The 27,284-nt window shown below is 37.1% G+C and overlaps 1 protein-coding gene and 1 long non-coding RNA gene across 8 annotated transcripts in view; both read left to right on the top strand.

Moving 5' to 3' along the window:
- Positions 1 to 27,284, top strand: part of FHIT (fragile histidine triad diadenosine triphosphatase) — a 1,504,176-nt gene that overhangs the window by 967,888 nt on the left and 509,004 nt on the right. The gene's annotated exons all lie outside the window — the stretch shown is intronic.
- LOC107986015 (uncharacterized) overlaps positions 1 to 27,284 on the top strand; it is a 100,472-nt gene extending 73,188 nt beyond the window's left edge. For both annotated transcript variants that reach the window (XR_007095935.1, XR_001740433.3), the window contains one exon: positions 1 to 27,284. This exon is cut by the window's left edge and continues 42,436 nt beyond it. This is a non-coding gene — a long non-coding RNA (uncharacterized LOC107986015).

Below are 27,284 nucleotides of genomic sequence, written 5' to 3'. Positions count from 1 at the left end.
TCAATTCTTTTTTTGTAATCTACATTTGAGATGTGTTAAAAACAAAATTGGGTCCTGGAATTAGATAATGGTGATGGATACATGTTTTTCTGAATATACTGAAAAGCATTGAATTACATATTTTAGAAGGATAAATGTTATGGTATGTGAAAAATATATACCTATGCTACATTAACAGTTACATATTTTTAATGATATGTATTAATATATATTATATGATTTTGTCACATATAATAGCATATATAAAACATTGGAACTGGATGACTTGAGGGAGCAAAGTTGAGCATTTCCTGATACTACAAACATGTATGTGTGTGTGTATGTGTGTGTGTGTATATATCCCTGTTTTTCGCTCTCCTAAATCAGTTCTTTCCAGATTTCCAGTGAAAGGAATTTTAGCTTGCTTATGAATGCCATCTAATTAGTTTATTTCTTTGTTACTGGAGAACATGAACAGAGGCCGCTATTTACTCAAGTGTGCACTCTCCAAAGGTCTTTCTTCATTCAGGATGACTTGATCCTGAGGGTTCTGCCATCTGTTACCTCTAAACAGCTAGCCAGCTGCTCTCTAGTCTTTCCAGTTTAAGCTCCATTCTTGGAACTGCACTTATTTCAGTCTGGTTGTTGTATTCACCTTGGGGCTCTGTATTCCTGAAACCATGGACTGCTGATATCTTAGCAGCCATAAGAATCTTCCTACTTGTTTGAAATAGGGGTTTCTGGATCCAGAGCCTAGAGATCATCCTAGGTATGTTTTCTAAGATGTACTTTTTAAAATAAAATTAAAATACTTTATTTTTTAGAACAGCTTTAGATTTTCAGAAAAATTGTGCAGATAGTTGAGAGACTTACCATAACATTTTCCTTCCGTGTCGCCACTATTCCCCCATCCCCGCCCCACCACCAAGTGTCTCCTACTATTAATACCTTGCATTAGTGTGGCACATTTATTACTGAAGTTAATGAACCAATATTGACACATTTATATTAACTGAAGTTCATACTTTACTTTAAAGTTCACTCTTGGCCTTCTGTGGTTCTATGGAGTTTTACAGATGCATATTGTCGTGTATCCACCATTACAGTTTCGTATAGAATAGTCTACATTGCCCTAAGAAACTATATTGGATCCCTGGTAACTAGTAATCCCTTTATTGCCTCTATAGTTTTCCCTTTTCCATAATGTCATATGGCAGTATGTCTGTAAGGTGCCTCCACACCTTTTTATGGCATAAGAGTTCTTTTAAAGAAAAAATTGTAGACTAGTATTCTGTCGTATGGATTTGCCACAGTTTGTTTATACATTCTCGTGTTGTGAAAGACAGATTATTATGAATAAAGTTTCTATAAGCTTCCCTAAGCAGACTTTTGTGTGAACATTAGTTTTCAACTCAGTTGAGTAAATGCTTAGGAACTTGGTTACTGCATTCTGTGGTGAAACTATGTTTAGATTTATAAGAAACTGTAAAACTGTAGTCCAAAGTGGCTATACCATTTTACCATTATTTCCACCAACAATGCATGAACGTTCCCATCACTCCACTTTCTTGCCAATATTTGGTATTATCAGTCTTATGGATTTAGCTATCCTAATAGGTATATACTGGTATGTCATTGTTTTAATTTGTAATCCCCTAATGACATATGATGTTAATATTTTCTACCATTCTGTGCCTTGTCCTTTCATTCTCTTAACAGTATTTTTTGTAGAGCAAAAGTTTTAAATTTTAATACAATTCAATTTAAAATTTTTTTTGTAGATAATTTTTTGTTGTTATATCTATAAACAAATTGCCAAACTCAAATCTAGTATTTTTCCCTGTGTTATCTTTCAGAGGATTTACATTTTGCATTTTTCATTTTACATTTAGTTCTGTGATGCGTTTTGAGTTTATTTTTGTAAAAGGTGTAAGGTCTGTGTGTAGATCCCCCCTTTTTTTTTTTTTGGCATATGGATGTCCAGTTATTCTAGCACTATTTGTTGTCTATTGAATTGCCTTTGCTCCTCTGTCCAGGGCAAGTTGTTTATGTTTGTATTGGTCTATTTCTGGATTTCCTCTTCTGTTCTTTTGATTCACTTACCTATTCTGTCACCAGTACCATGCTGTCTTGATCGCTGTAGCTTTGTAGCAAGTCTTAAAGTTGAGTAGTATCACTCCTTCAACTTTGTTCTTCAATATTTTATTGGCTATTCTGGATCTTGAGCCCTTCTCTATGAACTTTACAATCAGCTTTTTGATATTCACAGAATAACTTTCTGGGATTTTGACTGAAACTGCGTTGAATGTATAATCAAGTTGGGAAGAACCGATAACAGTATCAAGTCTTCCTATCCATGAACACAGAATATCTATTCGTTTATTTAGATTTTATTTCTTTCATCAGAATTTTTTATATTTCCTTACAGATCCTGTACATATATTGTTAGATTTTTACATCTATGTGTTTTATTTTTTACGCTAATATAAGTGATATTGTGCTTCTAATTTCAATTTCCATTTGTTATTTTCTGGCATATTGGAAAGAAATATTTTATCCTGTTTTTTTCAGGATAAAAGAAAAATTTTATCCTGAAACATTGCTGCAGTTGCTTATTTGTTCTAGAGAATGTTTTGTCAATTTTTTAGGATTTTTCTACATAGTCAGCCATATCATGAGAGCAAAAACAGTTTTATTTTCTTCTTCCCAATCGTTATATCTTTTTCTTAATATTCTTTCCTTTTCTTGTCTTACTTTTACCTAGGTCTTCCATTATGCTGTTGAATAGGAGTATTAACAGGGGAAAATCTTGCCTTGTTCTCAGTAGCTTGCTATATCAAATTATTACAGACTGGTAGCTTCAAACAATAGAAATTTCTTCCCTGACAGTTCTGAAAGCCAGAAGTCTAAAATCTAGGTGTCAGCAGGGCCGTACTCCCACAGAAGCTGTGGAGGGAAATCCATTCCTTGACAGCTTCTGGTAGCTCCATATATTCTTTGGGTTGTGGGTGTGGGTGTGACAGTGATCTCTGTGTTCCTGGTCACACTGGCTTCTTGATGAGTCTGTGTTATTTCACCTTTGCCTCTACCTTATAAGGATATTTATGATTGATAGCATTAAGGCCCACTCAGATAACTTAGGGTAATCTTCTCACCTTAAAATTCTTAATTTAGTTACAGCTACAAAGTCCTTTCTTTCAAAGAAGGTAACATTTTCATGTTTTAAAAGTTAAGACCTGATATCTTTGGGAGATCATTAGTCAGCCTACTATACTACACTGATCTTAAAGCATCCAGTTTCTCTCCATTGAGTATGATGTCATGTTAGCTGTAGGTTTTTTTGTAGATTTTTTGGTATCGAGTTGACGAAGTTTCATCTATTCCTAGTTTGCTGAGAGTTTCTACTCATAAATGAGTGTGGGATTTTGTCAGTGCTTTTCTGTATCTGTTGCTATTATATGATTTTTCTTCTCTGGCCAGTTGATACGCTAAGTTACGTTTGTTGAGTTTTTTTTGTTGTTTGGTTTTCTTCTATTGTTTTTTTTTTTTTTTTTGAGACAGAGTCTCGTTCTGTCACCCACGCTGGAGTGCGGTGGCACGATCTCCGCTCACTGCAAGCTCCGCCTCCCAGGTTCACGCCATTCTCCTGCCTCAGCCTCCCAAGTAGCTGAGACTAGAAGTGCCTGCCACCATACCTGGCTAATTTTTTTGTATTTTTAGTAGAGACGGGGTTTCACTGTGTTAGTCAGGATGGTCTTGATCTCCTGACCTCCTGATCTGCCCGTCTCGGCCTCCCAAAGTGCTAGGAATGTTTGTTGAGTTTTTGAACGTTCCACCAGCTGTGTACCTGAAATAAATCCTAGTTGTAGTATATAATAACTTTTATACATTATTAGATTTGATTTGCTAAGATTTTGTTGACGCTTTTTATATCATGTTCACGAGCGATATTAATTTCTAGTTTTTCTTTCTTTTAATGGGGTTTGCACGTGTATTCTGATTTTGCTATAGAGTAATGCTGGTATAACATAATGACTTAGGAAGTGTTCCCTCTGCTTTACCTATCTAAAGAAGGTTGTAGAGAATTGCTATCATTTTGTGCTTAAATATTTGATAGAATTCATCAGTTAAATTGTCTGGACCCAATTTATTATTTATTTTTAGAAAGTTAATTATTGATTCAATGTTTTAAAAAGATACAGATATAGATATAACCTGAATAGACCTATTCAGATTATCTATTTCTCTTTTTGTGAGTTTTGGTAGTTTGTTTCTTTTAAGGAATTGCCTCTGTTTATCTAAGTTATCAAATTTGAGATCACAGAGTTGTTCATCATATTTCTTTATCATCTTTTTAATATCCGTGAGATCAGTAGTGATGACCCCTCTTTCATTTCTAATGTTAGTAATCTGTATTGTTGCTCTTTTTTTCCTGGTTAGCCTGACTAGAGGTTTAGCAATTTTATTGATCTTTTGAAAATAATTAGCTTTTGGTTTTGTTAATTTTTCTCTGATTGATTTCCTATTTTCAATGTAATTGATTTCTGCTCTAATTTCTATTCTGTTTTTCTTCTGATTGCTTTAGGTTTAAATTGTTTTTCTTTCTGTGGGTTTCTAACAGAAGTTTAGATTATTGATTTTAGATCTTTCTTCTTTTTTGATATATGTGTTCAGTTCTTTAAATTTCCTGCAAAGCATTGTTTTCCTTGCATTCCACAAATTTTGCTAAGCTCTATTTTCATTTTTATTTAGTTTAAAATAGTTTAAAGTTTATCTTTAAGAAATTTCTTTTTGCATGCCTTATTTTTGTTGTTGAAAGCTGGAAATAATACCTCGAGTGATGGGAACTAAGAATTTTTTTTTTTGTTATGAGGTTTTATGTTAATCTAGCTTAGAGCTGGACTGTGTTTAATGCTTGCTGTAGCTTTAAGTTCCAGATGCTTCTGTGTGCTCGTATTTTTTGTCTTCCCTGTTGTCTTTGGGCTTTCCTAAGAGCTCCTTATTCAATAGAGTCTGTGTGTTTCACCTCTCAGTTGTAATCACCAAAGACCTCTTCACGTGGTGATGAGGTCTCAGGAAGGATAATTGTTGTATATTATGATTACATCTCAGTTTTCTTAGTGAGCCTGAGTTTCTAGGCTGCGATCTTCTGAAATGTTCTGAGCCCTTTTTTCGTCCCCTGACATTAGACAGGAAGGCTAAAAGAGTCTGGAGGGGACTAATTGCCCTTCTCCCAAGTCAGATAGAACTCTGGTAAAATAGCTTCCCTGAAAGGACGTGTCTTTCTTACAGAGAACAATCTGGGAAACTTCCAAAATGGTTACTTTTTCTCTTCCCTGAGATTTTTCTCCAGACTTCCCCATGAGAACATGATAGGGTTCTTGGACATAAAACTCAGAAAAGTATAGTCTCCCCTAAGACTAGGCTGCAAGAGTTTTTAACTCTCAAGCTAGTCTGCACTGAGCCTCCAGCAATTTGTCAAAATTATCATACACGTGTTCGTATCAGTTCCTAGGTCCTTCTGTTTTTGCTTTAGGTAATCTGATCTTATGATTCTTTGTGTTTACATGTTTCTCCAAATTTGGGGATACTAGTTTGCTTTGGACCTCAGTTCTCTGCTGAATCTAAAAAAGTCATTAATTTCCAGTTGGTTCATCTTTTTTCCTTGTCGTAAATATTTTTCTTGTTGCAAATTGCAGTGAAGCAGTGTCATTGGCTGGGATAATATCCGAGATTTGTCATCTCATGCCGGGAAAATTAAGGACAGGGACACACACACACAAGGAGTGAGTTTGGGAGCTGAGGATTAATAGGCAAAAGAAAGAGAAAGGAGAACAGCTTTCTCTCTTGAGAGAGAAAAGGGTGCCTGAATGAGACTTCCAGCCTGTGGCAGAGTGCATTGGAGTTTATAGGCAGGCTTGAGGAGGCGGTGTCTGATTTACATAGGGCCCAAAGATTGGTTGGACGAGGTGTGATGTTTACATAACATGCGAGGAAGCTGGATGCCCTACCCTGATCTTAAGCAAATGGCGACTTCTCCCAGCTGGCGCCATGTTGCCTGCTCGTTACTCTACATGTGGCTGGCAAAGAAAAGGGAAGATGGAGCTGCCATTTTGAGCATGCTTAGTACCAGGTAGCTTTTTCTTATTGGCACAACTGCTGGCATTCATCCATTGCAAGCTTCCAGCTTGCTTGTCTGGGTCTGCAGCTTGATTTTACAGGCTGCTCTTTGTTAGAAAAGAAAATGATTTGGCGGCTGCTTTTCATTCAAAGGAAAACCTTACGGAGGACTCCATACCCTCACTGTCTGCTAAATAATTCCTTTTTAACGCCTATATCTGCAGCTTCCAACTTCTTTATATGTCCCTCACAAAACATTTTTATGCAAATGGTTAAAAGAGAAAACCAGATCCAGAAATTAGGACCATTAATATGAAAATTGAAATTTTAAATGTTTTCACTGCTTTCTTGCTGACCACCAGGACTTCAGCAGGTAATTAAGATGTCAGCAAGATTTTTTTTAAGTAACTGAAAGTTCTAGCTGCTGTACTTATATACTTTGGATGCTTGTCCGCTCCAAATCTCATGTTGAAATGTAATCCCCATTGTTGGTTGAGTGGCCTGGTGGGAGGTGTTTGGGACATGAGGGTGGATTCCTCATGAATGGCTTGGTGTCATCCTTGCAGTAATGAGTGAGTTTGTTCTCAGTCTGTGAGTTCACATGAGATCTGGCTGTTTAAAAGAGGCTGGGACTTCCTCTACTCTCTCTCTTTCTCCCTCTCTTGCCCTGTGACATGCTGGCTCGCCTTTGTTTTCTGCCATGATTGTAAGCTCCCCAAGGCCCTCACCAGAGGCCAAACAGATGCTAGTGTTATGCTTCCTATACAGCCTACAGATCCATAGCCAAATAAACCTCTTTTCTTTAAAAATTACCCAGTCTCAGGTATTCCTTTAGAGTAATGCAAAGAGACTAATATATATGCCTTTTGCACCTTTGAAACAGAAGTTTAAAAAATATTTTTATGATTCACCTTGTTCGCTCGTGACACAAACACTATTGAGGCATCTCCATTGGCTGAGGCCAGTTCTCTCACCAGGTTTATATTTTATAGACTCTTGGGTTCTGAATGAGTACTCTGATATCTTTTGCACCTTCAGCCTCCTTTTTCTCAGCTTTGAGAAAAACGCTTGTGTGAATGCCTGGTCTTTTCACAAAATAAGCAGAGTATTTTAGACTTCATCTGCTGGACTTCCTCTGTCTCCAGAAGGAAACATTGTAGTATAAGAAATTACAAAAACAGGCCGGGTGCAGTGGCTCATGCCTGTAATCCCAGTACTTTAGGTGGCCGAGGCAGGCGGATCACGAGGTCAGGAGATCGAGGCCATCCTGGCTAACACAGTGAAACCCGGTCTCTACTAAATACACAAAAAATTAGCCAGCCTGGTGGCGGGTATCTATAGTCCCGGCTACTCAGGAGGCTGAGGCAGGAGAATGGCGTGAACCCAGGAGGCAGAGCTTGCAGTGAGCCGAGATCATGCCACTGCACTCCAGCCTGGGCGACTGAGCGAGACTCCATCTCAAAAAAAAAAAAAATTGCAAAAACAAATTCTCAAAACTACTGCTTAAACTTATCCTATTGGTCAGCTTGAAGGAGAGCAATAATTGCTGGATGTTCTTTAATTTGTAGAAACTGGCTTAATTTGTGCACACATAAAAAGAAGTCTAATTTCACAACTACAGATTGCAAGGCATTATTGTGTAGGATAGGACTGATGCCGAAAGACCACATGAGAAGATAGAATATCAGTTTAGTTTTAGTAACTGACTCTCCTTTATAAGAACTTTGACCCTCTGTAATACTATAGAACAAAATCTTCTTTCCTAAGTATGCATTTATTGATCACATATTATGTGCCAACCACTGTGCTGGTCACAGGTGTGTGTGTGTGTGTGTGTATGGCATTGACTAAGACAACATCTGTGAACTCAGGTTTCTGTGTAGTGGATATAAGATGAATGCCTACTGTCAAGTTTCCACAAGACTACCGGAAAAACCTGTTGATCAAGCAAAGCTATGATTTTAGATCTATAGGAAAAGAATATACAAGATTGAGAGAATCTGATTAGTTGCTCAAAATGGATAAATTAGGAGAGCACATTTATGGAGTTCTGGGCTTGTTCTGCATTACTTTAAGGCAGGTACTGCAAGTCAGAGAAATGATTGGAATTGGACAAGAGTTTAGACAAAGTAGTCTTGTGTTTGTGGCACAGAGAGGGTCTTGAAATAAGCCCTGGTGAGTAAGCTGATGACCTTGCTAAGTAAGTTAGTTGATTCATAGTTTTTTTTTTTTTTTCTTTTCTTCCAGAAATATTTCCCAGAGCAGGGAGCCAAGTTGTCAGTAATAATGAAAACAGTAATGAAAATATGCCTAGTTCCAAAATTTTCACAAAGGGACAAAAAATTTTTCTAGTTATCACAAATAAATGAACTTGAATCCTTAAAATATAGCCATAAGGAGTCTTTAAATAAAATGCAAAAATCTTTATTAAATGAATGAAAAGAAAGTTTCTCTTCCTTGAGACTATCATTTTTAAAAAACAGATAAATGTGGGGAAGTTTATTTTGTTATTCTAACATAATTCTGTTTGGGAATGAAAATTAAAATAGAATTTTTTTCCCTAAAGCAAAGTTATAGAACTTCCTATTGCAATTATCCATGCTAAATTTGCTGACATGAGTGTTTTCACTAAAGTCTTCAATACATAGGCTGTGCTGGGAAGGTCTGGGCCATACCTACTGTCTGGCTACTAAGGCCATGAATCTCTCTTAAAGATGTGTTTTGTAGTAGACCTGAACAGACTCATTTTAGTGGAGTCCAAGAGACTATATCTTCTGTTTTAATAGATTTGTTTTTTCTCAAATTTTTGAAAAAAGCTGTGCTACCACCTTGAATTTGGAACCACTTCTTGTTGTTGCTGTTATTGCTATGGGCATGTTTTTGTTATAGACAAGTTTTTGTTTCCATATCATTGTAAACATAGCTTATGACACATATTCTCAAATGTGCAAAGAAAAGTATAATGTTTGAGTTTATACATCCATGTAGTAAGTGTGGATCATTCATTCCATATATAAGATACATTTTTAGGTAAGCATTCAGGTAAAGGGTATTTTGTCATTTCGTTCTTCAAATATTTATTGAGTGACTGATATGTAAATGGTGATATATATATTAGGTGTTAAGGTGTTAGGGTTTTGGAGTTGGGGATTTAGTGGAAGAGAGTGGAACCAGTGCCTGCCCTCAAGGAGTTTATAATCTAGTGAGGTAGAGAAATGTTCAACCAAGAATGAGACACATAAGTTAGTATTAGAGCTCTGGTAAGTGGTGTGAAAGAGAGTTATCTGATATTATAAAATCGTGTAACCCTGTATAAGATGAACTTTCAAGCTGAACTGAGAGTAGAAGGCAGAGATGATAATGAGGCAGAGTGATTTAAGTAGAGAAAACAGATATGTAACATCCCTAAGGAGAAAGAACTAGAACTCAAAGGCTTATCATTACTGCCAAAATGTAATTTGTCATAGTTGTGTTCTTTCAATTGTCTTCGTTAAATATTAATTATTTTAATAAAAGTTATATAAGTGCATTTTAATATTTAATCTACACAAAGATGAGATACTTTTATTAATTTCTGTAAATGTTTCAGAACATTACTTTTTCTGTGATTTTAAATATTTGTGAAAACTCTTTCAATCTGTCCTTCAGGAAGACTCAGCTCTCATCTACATACTTGCCAATAGAAATAGTGTTTTCACGTTAAAGAAACAAGCTTAGAAGTTAGGAGGTACCATCATGTTAATTGCTGCCTTGTAATGGTTATTTATTGTCATTTTGTTTATTGACAGTGACTAGAATAGCAGTATGATCAGCATGATCATTATAAAAAATAATGAGGCTTTTTTCTTTTTTTTGAGACGACGGAGTCTTGCACTGTTGCTCTGGCTGGAATGCAGTGGTGTGATCTCAGCTCACTGCAGCCTCTGCCTCCCAAGTTCAAGCAATTCTCCCCCTCAGCCTCCTGAGTAGCTGGGAGGACAGGCACCCGCCACCACCCCTGGCTAATTTTTTTTGTATTTTTAGTAGAGACAGGATTTCACTATGTTGGCCAGGCTGGTCTTGAACTCCTGACCTTGTGATCCACCCGCCTCGGCCTCCCAAAGTGCTGGGATTACAGGTGTGAGCCACCATGCCTGGCTGAGGCTTTCTTTTAAACAGAAGAATTACACTTCCAATTCAATAAAATTTCCTCTAGAAGAGAATTGGATATTAATTCAAAGAAATACGAAGTTTTTATTTTACCCTATGCTTATGTAGAACATTAGAGAATTCCCCAAATCTCTAAATCTTCATTTTCCAACTAACTGAATGGCAGTGATAAAATTTCCTGTCTAAGCAAATTATTTCTCACCATAGATGTTCTCTTTATGTAAATCTTGCATTTTGAGCCTAATGTTGTAAGAAACCAGGTCTGATATGTGTAGTTTTTACTAATCCATTGTTTACCTTGTTAGAGAAACAGTGAGCAGGTTAGCTACCTAGGCGAATTGATTTGAATGGAGACAGAATTGTTAGACATACGTTAATTTGATAGCACCTTCAAGGACCAACTCAAGGGAGGCCTGATTTACCCTCATTGCCAGTCACTTGCTTTTGTTAGTAGTGGATGCAGGAGCTATCATGTTTCATTCTCAAAATCACAGTATCCGTTTGCACACGGAAAGGTGGAAGGAAGGCCTATGCAAGTGTCTGTTGAGGCATTTTCAGCTGGAGGTCTGTCTTGATTTGTAGATGCACTTCCCTCTTAACTGAGTTTTAGGATTACAGTTCTAACATTTCTGTGACTTCAAACTCAGTTTGTACAGAAGTGGCCATTCAGTGAGGTCCTCATCCTCATTAATGTTCAGAACTTCAAGAGTATTCTTTGATTAGTTTTGGGAGTCCTCGGTTTGTCCCCCTTTCTGTACCTCAAGATTTGATATGTTTTCACACCGGGGGAATTGGTAGAGTATCATTAAAGGATTCATCATTACTGCTTCCTGAAGATACCCTGTGCCCCAGATAGCCCCAGACACACACTGACTTTTCTGACATGTGATGATTTTGCTGACTATAATCTGGTCTCTATCTCTGCCTTTGCAGATCTTCTATATAATTTAAGGCCCAGCCTATGTGTCCCTGGTCTATGCAACCTTCCATTTCTCTCCCATCCTAGCTAAGAGTTGTGTTCCTGTCTTCTGTACCTTCAGCCTCATTTCTAGACATACTTGTTAAATTCTGCTTCATATTGGAGTTAATTGTATAAATACCACTTAACTCTCACTCTTAACTCCAAAGAGCAAGGTTAAAATTGTGTCTGGTTTTGTGTCCCGCAGAGCATGAAGGATGTGCTAGACCATCAGCAAGCCTTCATGAGAGGACTAGAATACGGGAGGCAGTACTGCAGCGTGGTGTAGAGCTTGAGCTCTGGAACCAGGCTGCCTCTGTCTGCATCTCACTTCCTCCAGTTAGTAGTCTATGATCTTGGACAGGTCTCTGTGCCTCAGTTTCCTCATTGGGTTGTTGTGAGGGTTTAATGAAACAATGTACATAAAGCACTTGGTACTACACCTGGAGTTTGGTAAGTTTTCAGAAAATGTTAACAATTATGGTCAGCAATTCAGAAGTGCATGGAGCCTCTACTATCTGCTCTTTTATACATTCACAGATGTTGAGTATTAGCTCTGTGCCAGGCATTATGCCATGTTGAGTCTGCAAAAATGAATAACTATCTTCATAACATGGAAGGGAAGGATCAATACCAACAACAGAATGCTTAGTATAGGACTTTTTTATGACAGTGATGTGTTGAAGTGAATTTCATGGTAATGGAAAGCAGATGTGCCATACATTGACCTCTATACTTTCCGTGCACTTGATAGTGCATAGAGACAGCAGTACTAACATCAAGAACTGAAATTTTTAGATTATTTTGAATCTCCAGTTCAATTAGTTCCTAACTTGTTAATGAACAAATCCATTATCAGAGATGCTAATAGGGAATAACATAAGCTAAGGTTTTACTTTCTTGTCTTTCTCTTTGTCTATGCTAATGGGCGTTTATTTTATTTTATTATTTTTTGGAGACCAGGTTTCACTCCCTTTCCCCAGGCTGGAGTGCAGTGGCGGGATCTCAGCTCACTGCAACCTCTGCCTCCTGGGTTCAAGCGATTCACCTGCCTCAGCCTCCTGAGTAGCTGGGAGTGTAGATGTGAGCCACCATGCCTGGCTAATTTTTGTAGTTTTTTTTGGAGAGACAGGGTTTCACCATGTTGACCAGGCTGGTCTTGAACTCCTGAGCTCAAGAGATCTGCCCACCTTTGTTTCCCAAAGTTCTGGGATTATAGGTGTGAGCCACGGAGCGTGGCTTCTGTGCTAACAAGCTATTAGTGACTTCAAAGGTGGGCAGCAGAAGTTAGCCCCCAAATAGCAGCAGTCCACTGTTATGTAGATTCCTCTGGTAATAGTCACCTGGAAGAAAATCTCCTATAGGTCCAGCATAAGTCCTCTATTACTGATTTCGGTTTATCTAGTTTGAGACCTTTGAAAGTTGTCTTTTAATGCCCTTTCTATGACCTATTGCAAGAAGATCATTGTCAGTCTGCTGTGCACTGTGTTTTAACAGCAGATATGGCTTTCTCTGGAAGGATAAAATCCTTGCCGGTGTTCCTCCCCATGGTTCTTTGTAGATTCTTTCTCTTTTTGCCATTACCTTCTTCGCCCCATCCCTCTTTCACACTTGGAAATGGCCAAAGCCGAACTAATCTCTGAAACTGAATATTAGAGCTCTGCCTAGAATCTTGGCCCATTTTTATTTGAGCTTTTTTCCTACCTCATTTTTGCTGGAAAATCCTTCCATTTGGCTTTTAATAGGGGTCATTTGTGAACAATATTTCATAACCAGTTACAGATTTCAATCTTCTGCATGTGTATGATAATTTATAGTCCAAGTGCTTTTATACTTGAACATCTTTTATGAGTTCTACTGCCTTTTCCCTGAAAGGAAACTGCTTTCCTCTTCCCATATTGCAGGTAAGGTTATTGAGGCAAATGGACTGGTGAAAATGTGGAATCTGTTTTAAAAAGGTAGAACCATGTCACTGTGCAAGTAATAGAAACTCAAAGTAACTTTAACCAAAATAGGGATTGTATGTGAAGGACACAAATGTGTCTCTCACTGCAGCAGGAAAGAGAGAGGGCAACAAAGCCTCACTGGGGGAGGCAAGCAAGAACTGCAGTTGTGGTCGGAGTCTGTGCTTTGGCCTTCTTTTTCTCTGTTTGCTGCCTTCTGTGCTGGGGCTCCATGCGCCTGCGTGGCCTGGTCTCTTAGACCACTGAGTCTCTGTCACCTGACTTCGCTGTCACAACAGATACAACCTCATCCCATGAATTCTAATTCCAAATTCTCTGGACTGAGAATCTGATTGGCTGGCCCAGTGTAGAGTCAGATACACCCCCTTGGTCATGTTAGTTCTGGCGTCGTATGAGGCCTGGTCATTTTCAGAGAAAGCTATGGGCCTGAATAGATACTTAAAAGAATCTTCTAACCAACCCATGAGTTTATAACTAATTACAAGGTCAGCAAATGTTCACCCATAGGGGTGTAACTCCCCATTTTTTATGAACCGAAATGGCAGTTTTTTAAAATGAAGTTAGACATTTCTCCCTCAAAGTTCCTGTAACACTTACAGATTCCTTTCTTAAACTCTTATTTGTTCCAACATTTCTATCTGCTTCACTAGACTGTGAGCTTCTTGAAGAAAATGACCCTGTGTTGTTCAGTCTTCACATACTCAATGCCTGGCTCAATGCTAGGATATTTTAAATGCTTAGCAAATGCTGGTTGAATGGAGAAATAGATAAAAGACTGCCTACCTCAAAAGATATTTCTTTGCACTCCCACATTTTTAAAATTTTTGTGTTTAAGTCATACACAGCTAAAAGATAACTGAGGCAAAAATATCTGCCTAAAGCGATAAGCTAAAGCAACTTTTGTGTTCTCAGGAAGTAGTATCCCATAGTGCAGTCATAACTCACTGGAAAATACCAAGATTTCTCAAAAGAACAGCCAGCAGGTGATCCAGGACAGTTTAGCTTCTGGTCAGTAAAAGAAAACTATTTCAAATGGAAAGAAATTCTAGATTTCAAATGAATGGACAGGAAAACTCCAGTGATTAACTACATCAACCAAAGGTTCCCAATAAGGTTAAAGACGTAGAAAACTGAAAATATCTTGATGGCTCATACTTATTCCTTTAGGTGTTCTTCTTAGTTCTTATTTTTTACTTTGAAAGTTTTAAATTAATCATTTACTAGTTTTTGATGGCTTCCATAACAGATTACTGAAAACTTAGTAACATAAAACAACAAAAATAAAATCATTTAACAACTCTGGAGGCCAGAAGTCTTAAATGGCTCTCACTGGGCTAAAATCAAGATGTCAGCAGGGCTGTGTTTCCTCTGGAAGCTCTAGTAGAGAACCTGTTTCTTTGACTTTTCCAGCTTCTCATGGCCCCTTCCTCTATCTTTAAAGCCAGAAAGGGCAGGTTGACTTCTCACTTTTCATCACTGTGACCTTCTCTTCAGCCTGTCTCTTCCATCTTTTAAGGACCCTTGTGATTATGTTGGGCCCACCTAGATAATCCAGGATCATCTCCCTGCCTTAAGGCCAGCAGATTAGCAACCTTCATCATCTGCAACCTTAATGCCCCTTTCCCATGTAAGCATATTCAGAGGTTCTGAGTATTAGGACATGGACATCTATAGGTGGCCAGGATTCTGTCGACCACACCTACACCTACTGTGAACACAGATACTATGGAGGATATAAAAGTAAACTATATATAGCAGTCACAATCAAGGATGTATACTGGCTAATGAAAAAGTCAACTTCACATAATGTAAATAATACATAATTGCAAATTCTCTGTCTCAAAATTTCCCTTTCTTCTTACTCAATAAATGTCCAGCTTCCTGGTCTCTGACTGTGCCAGTCCCAAGTCATGTTGCCTAGTCCAATTTTAGGGTTGCAACTAGTTCTGTTAACACCTTAATGCAACACATTAGGATATACAGCCATAAACAAGACATCAGGTTTTGAATAGACAAATGAACTGCTATGAATGAACTATGCAGTAAAGTGATTTCCTCCAACACTGTTAGTAATCTAATCTGAGAATGAGAAGTGAAAATTGCAAATTATCCCAACAGTACATCATACTTAACGTCCTCAGCCTAAATGCTATAGGAGATAGAGATTATTCAGCATAAGAATATTATGCTAAAAACTCAAAAGTTCAGACTGCTTTTCAAGGAGTTGAAGCAGTAGGGTGTTAACGCCTGAAAAGCTTTTTGTAGTTACCTTGTTTGCCCATTTAGACTTCAAGGGCAAGTTTGAGGTTCTATGAATGATATCCACAGTTTGCATTTAAATTTGAAGGTTATTTATTAAGTGACATTTTCAGTAAGATACAAAACCTACCTCCTGGTTAGTGATTGCACGAAGTCATTTTTAGTGCATGTAAGAGAGCAGTGAATCAGAATATTTATAGTTTAGCACTTTTAAAAATGTCCTTCAAATATGTGTGCACATAATAGCTTCTTAGACTATCAAGTCCAAGTTTTACAAGATTTAGGCTGAATATCACACATCTTCAATAAATAGTTTTGTATTCATGTACGTGGTGATCAGCAATCTAGAAAAAATATAATTCCAGAAAACTAATTTGTTAGGATCAGTCCTAGATCAGATATTTTTATTTTACTTGAATTGATCATTAGTAAATGCTTAAATATTTACTAAACGAATTAATGATGTATACAGTAGAAAATGCTAAGTGTGGAAGAACGGTCATATGTTAAGCACAAAATCTCAGACTGGGATTTTATAGTGGTAATTGCTATTGTGTTCAGAGGCCCGTGGAGACCTAGGATAAACATGCTGCATCTTTTGAGGAATTTTGCTTATTTGAGAACAAAGTTAAATACTTTACCTACTGAGTAATTTAAAATATTTTTGTATTATGACAAAAATCATATTATTGAGAACACAATTCACATAACATTTCTTATAATAGCATAATTTTTCCATGGTATTTTTATAAAGTATTTGAAAATTTTCATTACATTATGCAATTTGCAAGCATTTCCCATTTATTGTGTGTGTGTGTATATGTGACCTCATGTAGCCCTATAAGGCTTGTTACTAAAAAATAATTCAAAACCCCTACATTGTCCCTCCTTCCTCTCCCTCATTTCTTTTAAACTGATTATTTTAGTATTTATCTCTGTATCTCTAAGTAATATGTATACTTTTTTATTTTTTACATTTCAAGCTCTTTCTATTGATTTTGCACTATGGAAGCAGAGAACATAACTAATATCACTAGTCTTCCCTTCACTTCTATTGCACACGCTCTTCTTCTGTCCCTTATCTCAATGTAATTTTACTGCAAATTTGATGAAATTAATATTCATATTAGTACAGTATTGAAATGTCATCTAAAGCTGAAGTGTGGAGTAAACTACCATCACACTTTCTATCCTGCCTGACTTTTGATTTCTCTGGATGTAATAATTTTCTTGTTTTTTAATTTGCTTGGTTTTGTAAATACTTATCACTGTCTTAGCCCCCAAAGTCTTCACTGGTTGTCTAAATACCTTCTCAAGATGTTCATGCACTTCTGGTATTCTGGCACTTTCATCTTCCTAGAGACATCTCTCCTGCAGCCCTGCTCTCTCATTTTGCTGGGGTACTCTATGTCAGAGACCCTCTATTTTACTCTCTACAGGAACAAAGCTTAAGTCACTGGCCAGGATGAGGGGGTGTCGCAATCTCCTGGCTATCAGGAGTGGGAGATGGGATCTGAGGATCTAACTCCTCCTTAATCCTTTCCCTTCCCCTGCTCAAACATCTTTAGAGAGATATAATATATGTAGCATACCATTCACCCATTTAAAGTGTATATTCTGTGGTTTTCGGAACATTATCAGAATTGTGCAACTATCACCATAGTCATTTTTAGACCATTTTCATCACCACCAAAAGAAACCCCAGATGCATTAGCAGTCATTTCTGTTTCTCATGAAGCCCCCTCCGCGGCCCTGGGCATTATGATTCCATTTTATGTTTTTATATCTTGGCCTGTTCTGGACATTTCCTATAAATGAAATCACACAGTTGTGGTCTTTTGTGACTGGCTTCTTTCAGCTAGAATAATGTTTTCATGGTTCATCATGCTGTAATGTGTCTCAGTACTTTATTTTTTTATTGCTAATAATATTCCATTGTATGCGTGTACCACATTATTTATCTTTTCATCCATCAATGGAAATTTGGGGTGTTTCCACTTTTAGGCTTTTATGGATGATGCTGTTATAAACATTCATATAGAACTTTTGTGTGAACATATGTTTTCATTTCTCTTGGGTGTATAACTAGGAGTGGAATTGCTGGGTAATATATATACCTTTATATATACTATCTTTATGTATATAATAAATTAGATGCATCATTTTACATGATCACCTGCAAGATGTAAGGGTTCTGATTTTTCCCCATCATTATTAATTTTTTTTTAGTTATAGGTGACCTTGTGGGTGCCAAATGGTGACTCATGGTGTTTAGATCACCATTTCTCTGATGGCTTTTAATGCTGAGTATCTTTTCATTTGCGTATTGGCCATCTGAGTATCTTGTTTGGAGAAATGTCTATTTAAAACCTTTACCCATTTAAAAAATTTGAATCATCTATTTATTATTGAGTTGAAAAAGTTCTTTATATATTCTAGATACAAGTCCCTTCTCAGATATGTGATTTGCATATATTTTCTCCCATTCCTCTTTGATTGTCTTCTCACTTTATTAATGATGTCCTTCAAAATACAAACTTTTACATTTTGATGAAGTCTAATTTATATATATTTTTTCTTTGTTGTGGCTGTCGTTGCTTGTGCTTTTGCTGACATAGCTAAGAGACCCCTGTGTAATCCGTACTCATGAAGGTTTACATGTATGTTTTCTTCTAAGTTTTATACTTTAAACTCTTAGGTCTTTGATCTATTTCGAGTTAATTTTTATATATTCTATGAAGTAGGAGCCTTCCACTCTTTTGTGTGTAGATATCCACTTGTCCAAGGACCATCTCTTAAAAAGACTACTCTTTCTCTGTTTGCTTAATGTTTTAAGATATCAGAGCTCAAATACATTTCCTGCTTGCTAAATATGTCTATATATGTTTTTCATTTTCAGCATGTATGTTCCTTCTCCACTATCATTGTGTACTTCAGCAGAAATGTTGGGAAAAACTTGGTATAAAGAAAACAAACTTTAATAGATATGCTTCAACCAAGAAGGCTCTGGGATGTAGACTTTTCATTGAAAGGAGCCATTGAAGATAAACAGGAGAGGTTCATATTAAGCTAGAGGTCCAGGTTAGGTCGTGCATTCTCAGTGGGAGTGATATCACCCCCAAGCCGGTGAAAATTAATTCTTGGGAGCAATAAAAAGTCATTCTTTTTATGTGTAAAGCGCAGACATAGAGACAATACGTATAAGGATATAAAGAAAATCTGTGGTATTAAAATTTCAGGGGGGCAATTAGAAAACGCTCCTTGCAGGGATGATGATGAAAAAAAGATTGAGAAACAGTGAGGTGAAAGTCGCATTTCATCACAATTGCCTTAAAAATTCCTTCCTTAAGTGGCTCATTAATGAGTACATGGTTTTGATATATTGATATGTACTTGAACATTCAAGAACCACTGAAATAAAAGAAAGGAGAAAAGGAGAGTCCACATTCAACTCCCTGGGTTTTGAAGCCATTCCTAGCAGAGGCTTTCGAAGGACTTCTAAATGCTCTATATGCAGTGTTTGCTCTATTGTGCTTTTATATTAACTCTCTATTAACTCTCTTAATGTATTATTGTTAGTGTTATTAGGATTAAATAAGATAATAGAACCAGTAACTTATAGTGATAAAGTGCTGTGTGTACAGAAGAGGTTTTCAAGTCTTTTCTTAAGTTGAGTATTTCTAATGATAATTTTCCACTGTGATAATTTTTTCTTTTTAAGCTTTAGCTTTTCTAGCTACTGGTCCTTGTTATATGTAATATGAGCTGAACTATTGGTAGGAAGGCTTTATCAGTGAGTGCATGGCTAAATGTATTCAAAATCCTTTTATGACTTGAATCTGTCCATGGTTTTGACTTTGCTGCTTTATCATGTCTATACTTGAGAAGTATTATGTTTGCTCATCAGGCTACTCCTACATACAGAGTGGTCCTCAGAGAACATTTTCTTCTAGGATTTAAGTGATGAAAAGCAAGGCTGAATGGAGATTTTGGTGAAAGGCTTTCTCTTTGGATCCATCTCTAATATTTTTCTCCCCCACTTTGGGGAATTCACTGGAAGCTGATGCCACATACTTTGTTGATGGTACCCTTAGCTAACCACCTCAGGACATAACAAGTTTAATTTGAACAGATCAAATAGATTCAAAGGAAAAATATTTAAGATGATTGGTAAAATTCTCAACGTAAATCTAAAATCTTTTCATTTAAAAAAAAAAACACTCACTTTCTCCAGACCAGTTTCCTAGGAGACTGCCAATTATTCTAATGTGATAAGCTAGATTGCAAATGAAGAACTTGTTGAAAGATGCATTTAAGCTAAAGACTTTATTTCTTTAGTTTTAATTTTTTGATATCATTTATATACAGCAACACACATAAAATTTACATACACTGTGGATTACTGTAGAATACTGTCATCAAATCAATAAGTTTCTTCCACAGTTTTGCATTCCACCTCCTCTCTACCACCCCTGGCCTCAGGCATCCACTGATCTGCTTTGTGATGCTATAGATTAGGTTTGGCTTTTTAAGTATTTTGTATAAATGGAATCATGTAGCATGTATCTTTTTGTTCCTGGGGCCTTTTCTCCTTCTTGTTACTGCATGTGTCAACAGTTCATTCCTTTTCATTGCTGAGTAGTATTGTTGCATGATTATACTACAGTTTGTTAAGTCATCTGATAGTGGACATTTAGGTTGTGTCTACTTTATGGCTATTATGAAGAAAGCTATAATTTTTCATAGATGAGTCTATTGGAGAATATGTTTGCATTTTTCTTGGATGCATACCTACAAGTGGAATTACTGAGTCACATGCTATATTTAAAGTCAAATTTACAAGGAATTGCCAGTGGTATTCTAAAATGGTTATATCAGTTTTCACTCTACCATCAACATTTGGAAGTTCTTAATTGCTGCCAATCCTTGTCAACACTTGATATTGTCAGTCTTTTTATTTCAGCCATTCTATTTAGCTGTGTAGCAGTATCTCATTTGGGTTTTAATTTGCATTTCCCTAATGACTAATGATAAGCATTTTTTTCCTGTAATTATGTTTTCTTTTGTACGATGTCATTTTGGGTACTTTGCTCATTTTTAATTGGGTTGACTATCTTACTGAGATATTAGTTATTTTTTATTCTAGATATAAGTCGTTTATTAAGTATTTGCATTAAAAATATGTTCTTCTAGTCTGTGACTTGGCTTTTTATTTCCTAAACTGTGCCTTTCAAAGAACTAAAGTTCTTTGTTCTTCAAATCCAAGTCTTTTTTTTTTATCTTTTTTTCTTTGTACTTTATATGTACTAAGTCATATAAAGTACCTAACCACATAAAGAGTTTATTTGGTTAACTCTTTAGGTAAGAGATTCACAGCTGGGATTGTTTTGCCGTCAGGGAATTTCAGTCAGTTAGCTGAACAGGAAATGTTTATTTCAGCGTCTAGCAGTTTTAGGGGTAAAAAGAGTTCTAATCTTAGCTAATCAATCCTGAGCCACAGAGTGGGAAATTGGCTAGAGGTAAAAAGGGTTGGGTCTCTTTCTGGCCTTGTTACAGGTAAACAAAAGGGGTGGTCTGCACATTTTGTGAAAATTATGATAGAGTAAGAATAGTCATATCTAAGTCATTTGGGGAAGGGTAGTTCTCTTCAGCAGCCATTTCCCAGAACCAAAAAGGGTGGGGATGTTTTGCCTTTAATTTTCAAAAGGTTTGTAGGGGTGGTTGTTAACCATCACTTTTCTGCAAGCACAGGGCTCAGGTAAAGTTTGACATTGTCAGGGCCTATTTGTACTTAGATTCTTTAATTCTTTTTGTATGAATACACCATGCTACTGGTTCCCTCATTAAGAAATTCATTTTGATATGTTTGCTTTATATTTATCTAAAAGCAATGTTTGTAACTTTTTAAAAATTATACTTTGACATTCTTTGGATCTTCATAGATGCTGTAGGGGACAAAAGATTTTTCATCTGTCACTAGACTCATGACTGAGACACTATGACAAAAGACAGATTAACCGGAGAAAAACATACAACTTTATTTAACATAAGTTTTATGTGACACAGGATCATTCCAAAATGAAGACCCAAAGACATAGGGAAATGTACATGTTTTAATGTTCAGTTTGATAAAGTAGATGGTAGGGGAGAAATATTATAGGAGGATAAAAGGTTATGGTCTAATGGTAATAAACTGGGCTGACTTGGGAAGGCCTGTTTGTTCAGATTCTTCTGTGTCCCTTTGTCTTCAGAGAGACAGAGATGTTCCTTTTCTCCAGGTACAGTGAGAGAACCTCTGAAATGGGAGTCTTAATGATGTACTGCAGAGGTCAGAGAATTACTGTATAGTCTGCTTCAGAGGAGAAGGGCAGGAAGAAGGTCCAAGAGACCTTCTTGCTTCTGCTGTTTCCTCCAGTGCCAAAGTGGGGTGTCCTGAACGTCATCAGTAACGTACCTATTGGTCAGGAAGGCACGTTTACAAAGTCAAGCTTATCCATTAAATATTTCCTCAATTTAATTTACTATGAGGATAGTTTCTATGTTGAAGAGGATCTGACATCAGGCTGGTTTCTTTTTAGTATGTCTTGAAGTTTATTGTTTCTTGACTTGTGAAAATCAACAGGGTCTCTTACAAATAGACTCCCTTACCATAAACTCCTGAATTTTAGACAGTAAAATAAATGTATCAACAGGACTCATGAATGTGATAATTATAGTGTATTTTGATGATTCTAATACTCACCGTCTCTGAAATTAATACGTTCCTTGCGATTGGTACCATCTTAGGTAGGATGTAATATGATATATATGTCTTTTGTTTTTCTTTTCTCACCTGTCGTGGATATGTTACTGGGAAGGGTACCAATCCAGAGCCTAAGAAAGGGTTCTTGGACCTCATGCAAGGAAGAATTCAGAGTGAGTCCAAAGAGTAAAGTGAAATCAACTTTATTAGGAAAGTAAAGGGATAAGTACTTTTTTTATTCCAAAATACTTTTGTATTCCAAAAAGTAAAGTGAAAGCAAGTTTATTTGGAAAGCAGTTTGGGCTGCTCAACTGAAAATACTTATAATTATTTCTTGATTAGATGCTGAACAAGGGGTGGATTATTCATGACTTTCCCGGGAATGGGGTTGGCAATTCCCGGAGCTGAGGGTTGGGTTCCTCCTCTTTTTAGACCATATAGTGTAACTTCCAGACTTTGCCATGGCATTTGTAAACTGTCATGGCGCTGGTGGGAGTGTGTTTTAGCACACTGATGCATTGTAATTATCATATAATGAGCATTGAGGACAACCAGAGGTCACTTTTATCACCATCTTGGTTTCGATGGGTTTTGGCCAGCTTCTTTACGCATCTGCATCTTGTTTTATCAGGTGATTTGCACCTTGTGTCAACCTCCTATCTCGTCTGTGACTTAGAATGCCTAACCTCCTGGAAATACAGCCCAGTAGGTCTCAGCCTTATTTTACCCAGCCGCTATTCAAGATAGAGTTGCTCTGGTTCAAACACCTCTGACAGATACAAGAAAAAAATAGCATAATATATTTTATTAGAATTCATTAAGGTTATAGAGGCATTTATTTGCAAAAGCTTTGTGTTAAGTCTAAAGCCCCAACAATCACTTTTTCACTTCTGTGTTCTATTGTTTTGTTAAAAGTTTTCAAACTTCTAAACAATAGTGAATACGCCAAGTTTTAACGCTTACACCTGGCAGGAAGAAAAATAAGTTCTGTATTTTACACTTTGTTTCTCCTGACACTATTTTTTTCTTTTTTTTTTTTTTAAATTTAGTCAAGACAGAAGTTTCCTGCAGTGGCAGGAATCCAGTAACTGAGGCTTTTAAATATCTAGCTGTGTTACTCACTATTTTGCTGCAGTCATCATACTTAATTGGTACACCCTGAAGTGTGAACCAACCTCCTACACCCTCTACGGCCCTTAGAACTGGAAGGATGGTTTTGCTAGATCTTCCTTAAGAACACTAATATTTTTTTCTCTTCTAACTTGTAGTGGTTAGATGCACAGAATTCAGACCTGAGTGTTCACTGGCGTTTAAATATTGCCTTAAAGCAAATCCTTTCTGACCTTGTGGTTATTGAGACACTTGAGCCTGTGGTTGTATTCTACCCTATTCTCATTCATTTTCATGCTCTGGAAGGGGCCCAGTGGTACAGGGGTATCCATTGCTAGGTCCCAGCCTCTTGCTTTCCCTCCCTTGAATTATTTCCTTGTCATCCCATTGCCAGGGTGAAGTTCACACTCCCTGAGTTGGCATAGGAAATCTGACCCACTCTTTACTCTTTCTCCACCTCACTCTGGATTCCAATTTATATTGGATACCCTTTCTAGAAAACCCATGGTAACAGCACTTGGGGTGCATTATTGAAACATGATTTTGAGTTGGGCAGCCTAGCTACTTACTGTCTGCAAGTCCCTGGGCAAGTTAATTAACCTCTCTGAGGCTGTGTTGCTTTTTATGTTAAGTGGGGATAATAATAGTACTTAGCTCCTGGAGTTACTCTAAGGATTTAGCAAGGTGATGAATGTAAATTACTAAGCTTAGTTCCTGAATATTTTAAGATACTCCCTTAAAACAAATGTAAGCCATTATTATTTGCAGTTGCCATAACTTAAGGTCTTCCCATCCTGTCCTCAGAATGTTTTGATGTTTTGTAGCCTTCCGGCTTTGAAGGTCTCTCCACACCCACTACTCATCTTCTTCCTTTTCATCTTATCTGTGGTTTGGATTTCAAAGTTTTAATCAAGATTCCATAGCTTTCCCCTGAACAGATTGTATAGCCAGTACCCAGCCGCTCATCTGCTATGTCTGAGCAACATTTGTTGAAAGAAAGATTGAATGAAAACTAGTGTCTATTTCCAGTAGTTTTAGTTTTCAGATATTTTAAGGGTGATAGGAAAGGTCTCTGCCCACTTCTTCTATTTCTCTACCTCAGCAATTCCTGGCCTGCTGCAGAGATTCCTATGTAGTTTTGACGGCTATAACTTTGGTAGTCATTTTAAATGGGGACAGGTGAAAAAAATCTTTCGGAACCACATCAAGGTAGGTCTTTTTTTTTTTTTTAACTGAATAGGGTTCAGGACACATGACTTCAAAATATGGCATCTTGATATTTGAGAACATAGCAGAAGCAGGAAGATCTCTTTTACCTTCCCCTTCCCCTTCCCCTTCTCATAAGACCCTCATTCAAGAGGTACCCTCCACAGATCTGGAGAAAGGGAACATCCTTATCTCTGAAGATACAGGGACACAAAGAAGATTTAGCAAACAGGCCTTCCAAAGTCCCTCCCAGCTTATTACCATTAGATCATATTTTTTCATCCAATAATACTTTTTCATTACTATCCACTTTTCCATCAAACCAACATAGAAAAAGACACAGGCTTCCCTATTTTGAGGGTTTCATTTTCCTATGAAGGCTCCCATGTCACGTAAAATTCATTCAATAGATTTATATGCTTTTTCCTTGTTGATCTACCTTTTGTTATAGGTGCCTCAGCCATGAACTTAGTGGTGAGTGAGGAAAATATATTTTTCCCCTATACTACTATCACAATTTAATATTTTAAAGTAATAATCTTAGGAAGCACCATCTAAAATCATGGACTTTTCAAAGAAGGGATGCCATATGTCAAAGATATAATGCACTGGACAGTTAAGGAGGTGATTTTATTTAGGATACTGCTACAGGGAGAGCATTAATTATGGTAGAACATTTTGAAGAAGAGGAAGTGGGCCTGGAGTTTTAGAGAGGCCGCTAAACAAGGGAATCCTGAGGAACGATGGAGATGGGATCTTACAGAAAGGATTGAAGATTTCTTAATTCTGGTTTTCTGGGAGCACAGGGCTCAGGTAAAGTTGAACGTTGTCACAGAGTGTTTCATGGGATGTACAACACCACAGACTAGTCACCTGCCAGGAAGGGAAATTTTATTGTAATATTTGGAGGTGGCAATATTATTTTTCACAAAAGCCCCTGCTGATATATGATGGAGTGTGTACAAAATCTGCAGAGGTGTGTGTGTGTGTGTGTGTGTGTGTGTGTGTGTGTATTTAATTTCCAACTTTTAAGTTCAGGGTTACATGTGCAGGATTGCAGGTTTGTTACATAGGTAAACATGTGCCATGGTGGTTTTCTGCACAGATCAACCCATCACCCAGGTATTAAGCCCAGCATCCATTAGCTCTTCTTCCGGATATTCTCTCTCCTCCCCGTTGACCCTCCGACAGGCCTTAGTTTGTTTTGTTCCCGCCATGTGTCTATTTGTTCTCATAATTCAGCTCCCACTTACAGGTGAGAACATTTGGTATTCAGTTTTCTGTTCCTGAGTTAGTTTGCTAAGGATAGTGACCTCTAGTTTCATCCATGTCACTGCAAAGGACATGATCTCATTCCTTTTTAATCTGCATATATTTTTGAGCTAAAGCATGAGACATCAAAGAAATTTCTGCTTGTAGCAGTCTACTTTACCTCCACCTTCCTTGTCCTCCTCCTGCTCCCCTACTTCAGTGAAGCAAATGTTAATCCCTATGCCATGTTACTACTGTGAAATGTTTGAGAAGCATGGGTTAGGGCATCCACAGCAGCTATTATGTTGAACACTCTATGAAAAGCCACAATCCAGGGTGAAAGAGTAGCATCAGCAGAGGAAGAAAACTGGGAGAGTGAAATGTGTGGCACCCACGGAGTTTCTTTTATTGTCCATGCAGGATGTGAATGGACAAGCAGTGTAATATATGACTGACAGAGTAGATGATACTCTTAGTTTTGAATTCCAGGGTAACGTTTCTGGATTTAATTCATTTGGCAACTGGTGTCCATTGAAGGTTTTAGAGCAAGGATCTGTTAGGAGCTAAACATGTTAGAAGAACATTTTCAGCAATAGGTTAAGTCATAACTCTCAGACAGATACAGAAATGAACCTGTGTTAAAGATTTTATTTAATTCACAAGGGAAGCTGCAGATGATATAACTGGTTTAAAAGATAATCCAAACAACAGGCATGTTTATAAAACAGGAATATTGAAATGTGTGTGAAAATGGAGGCAAAGCTGTTTTCTTCCTCCAGGTGGCAGGAAGGAAGGAGGTCAAAGTAAACCTGTATCAAACAGGAAATAATTTGCATGTCTTAATATTTTGCATTACTATTAGTTACCTGTAATGTAACAGAGTTGTAAAATACCTTGAAGACACTGAACAGACCTAGACATTGCGTAGGTTCCACACATTTTTCTTTTTCTGAAGAACATGATGGGAGCTGAATATTAGTAAGATCATAGAGTGTGGAAATTTGTGTTGAAGAGAAAGAAACTAGAGATATTAAGGAGATTAGGAGACTATTGCACCTGACCAATCATACTGAAATGTATGATTAGAATTATGATGGTGCTGGGATGGCACAGAGGTGTGGATGCAAGGTACTAAACCAAGGTGGGATCTACCAAAGTTATCAATTGATTAGAAGTGGGAGATGAGAAAGGAGAGCCTGGTGGCTAGTGCTTGACTGGTATTTGGATTTGGCTTCTGCCTAGTTGTGTAACCTCAGGCAAGTTACCTGTCCTCTCTTAGCCTTAGTTAGCTCATCTACAAAATGGCGTAACCATAGGGTCTGTCTTCTGAATTAAGCAAGATAACATTTTGCCTCAGTCAGTTCCTGCTTCTATAACAAAATACCTTAGCCTGGGTGATTTAGAAACAACAAATATTTATTGCTTACAGTTCTGGATTCTAAGAAATCTTAAAAGGCTTGAGAAAAATGGGTAAATTTAGTGAGAGCAAGGAAATTTGGGGAGCTTGAGGTTGATGATAAGAGACATGGGAAGATGAGATATCCAA

This window comes from Homo sapiens, chromosome 3 (assembly GCF_000001405.40).
Source record: "Homo sapiens chromosome 3, GRCh38.p14 Primary Assembly".
NCBI lineage: Eukaryota > Metazoa > Chordata > Mammalia > Primates > Hominidae > Homo > Homo sapiens.
The sequence above is the reverse complement of the archived record's forward strand: the minus strand, read 5'-3'. Positions and strand labels throughout refer to the sequence as shown.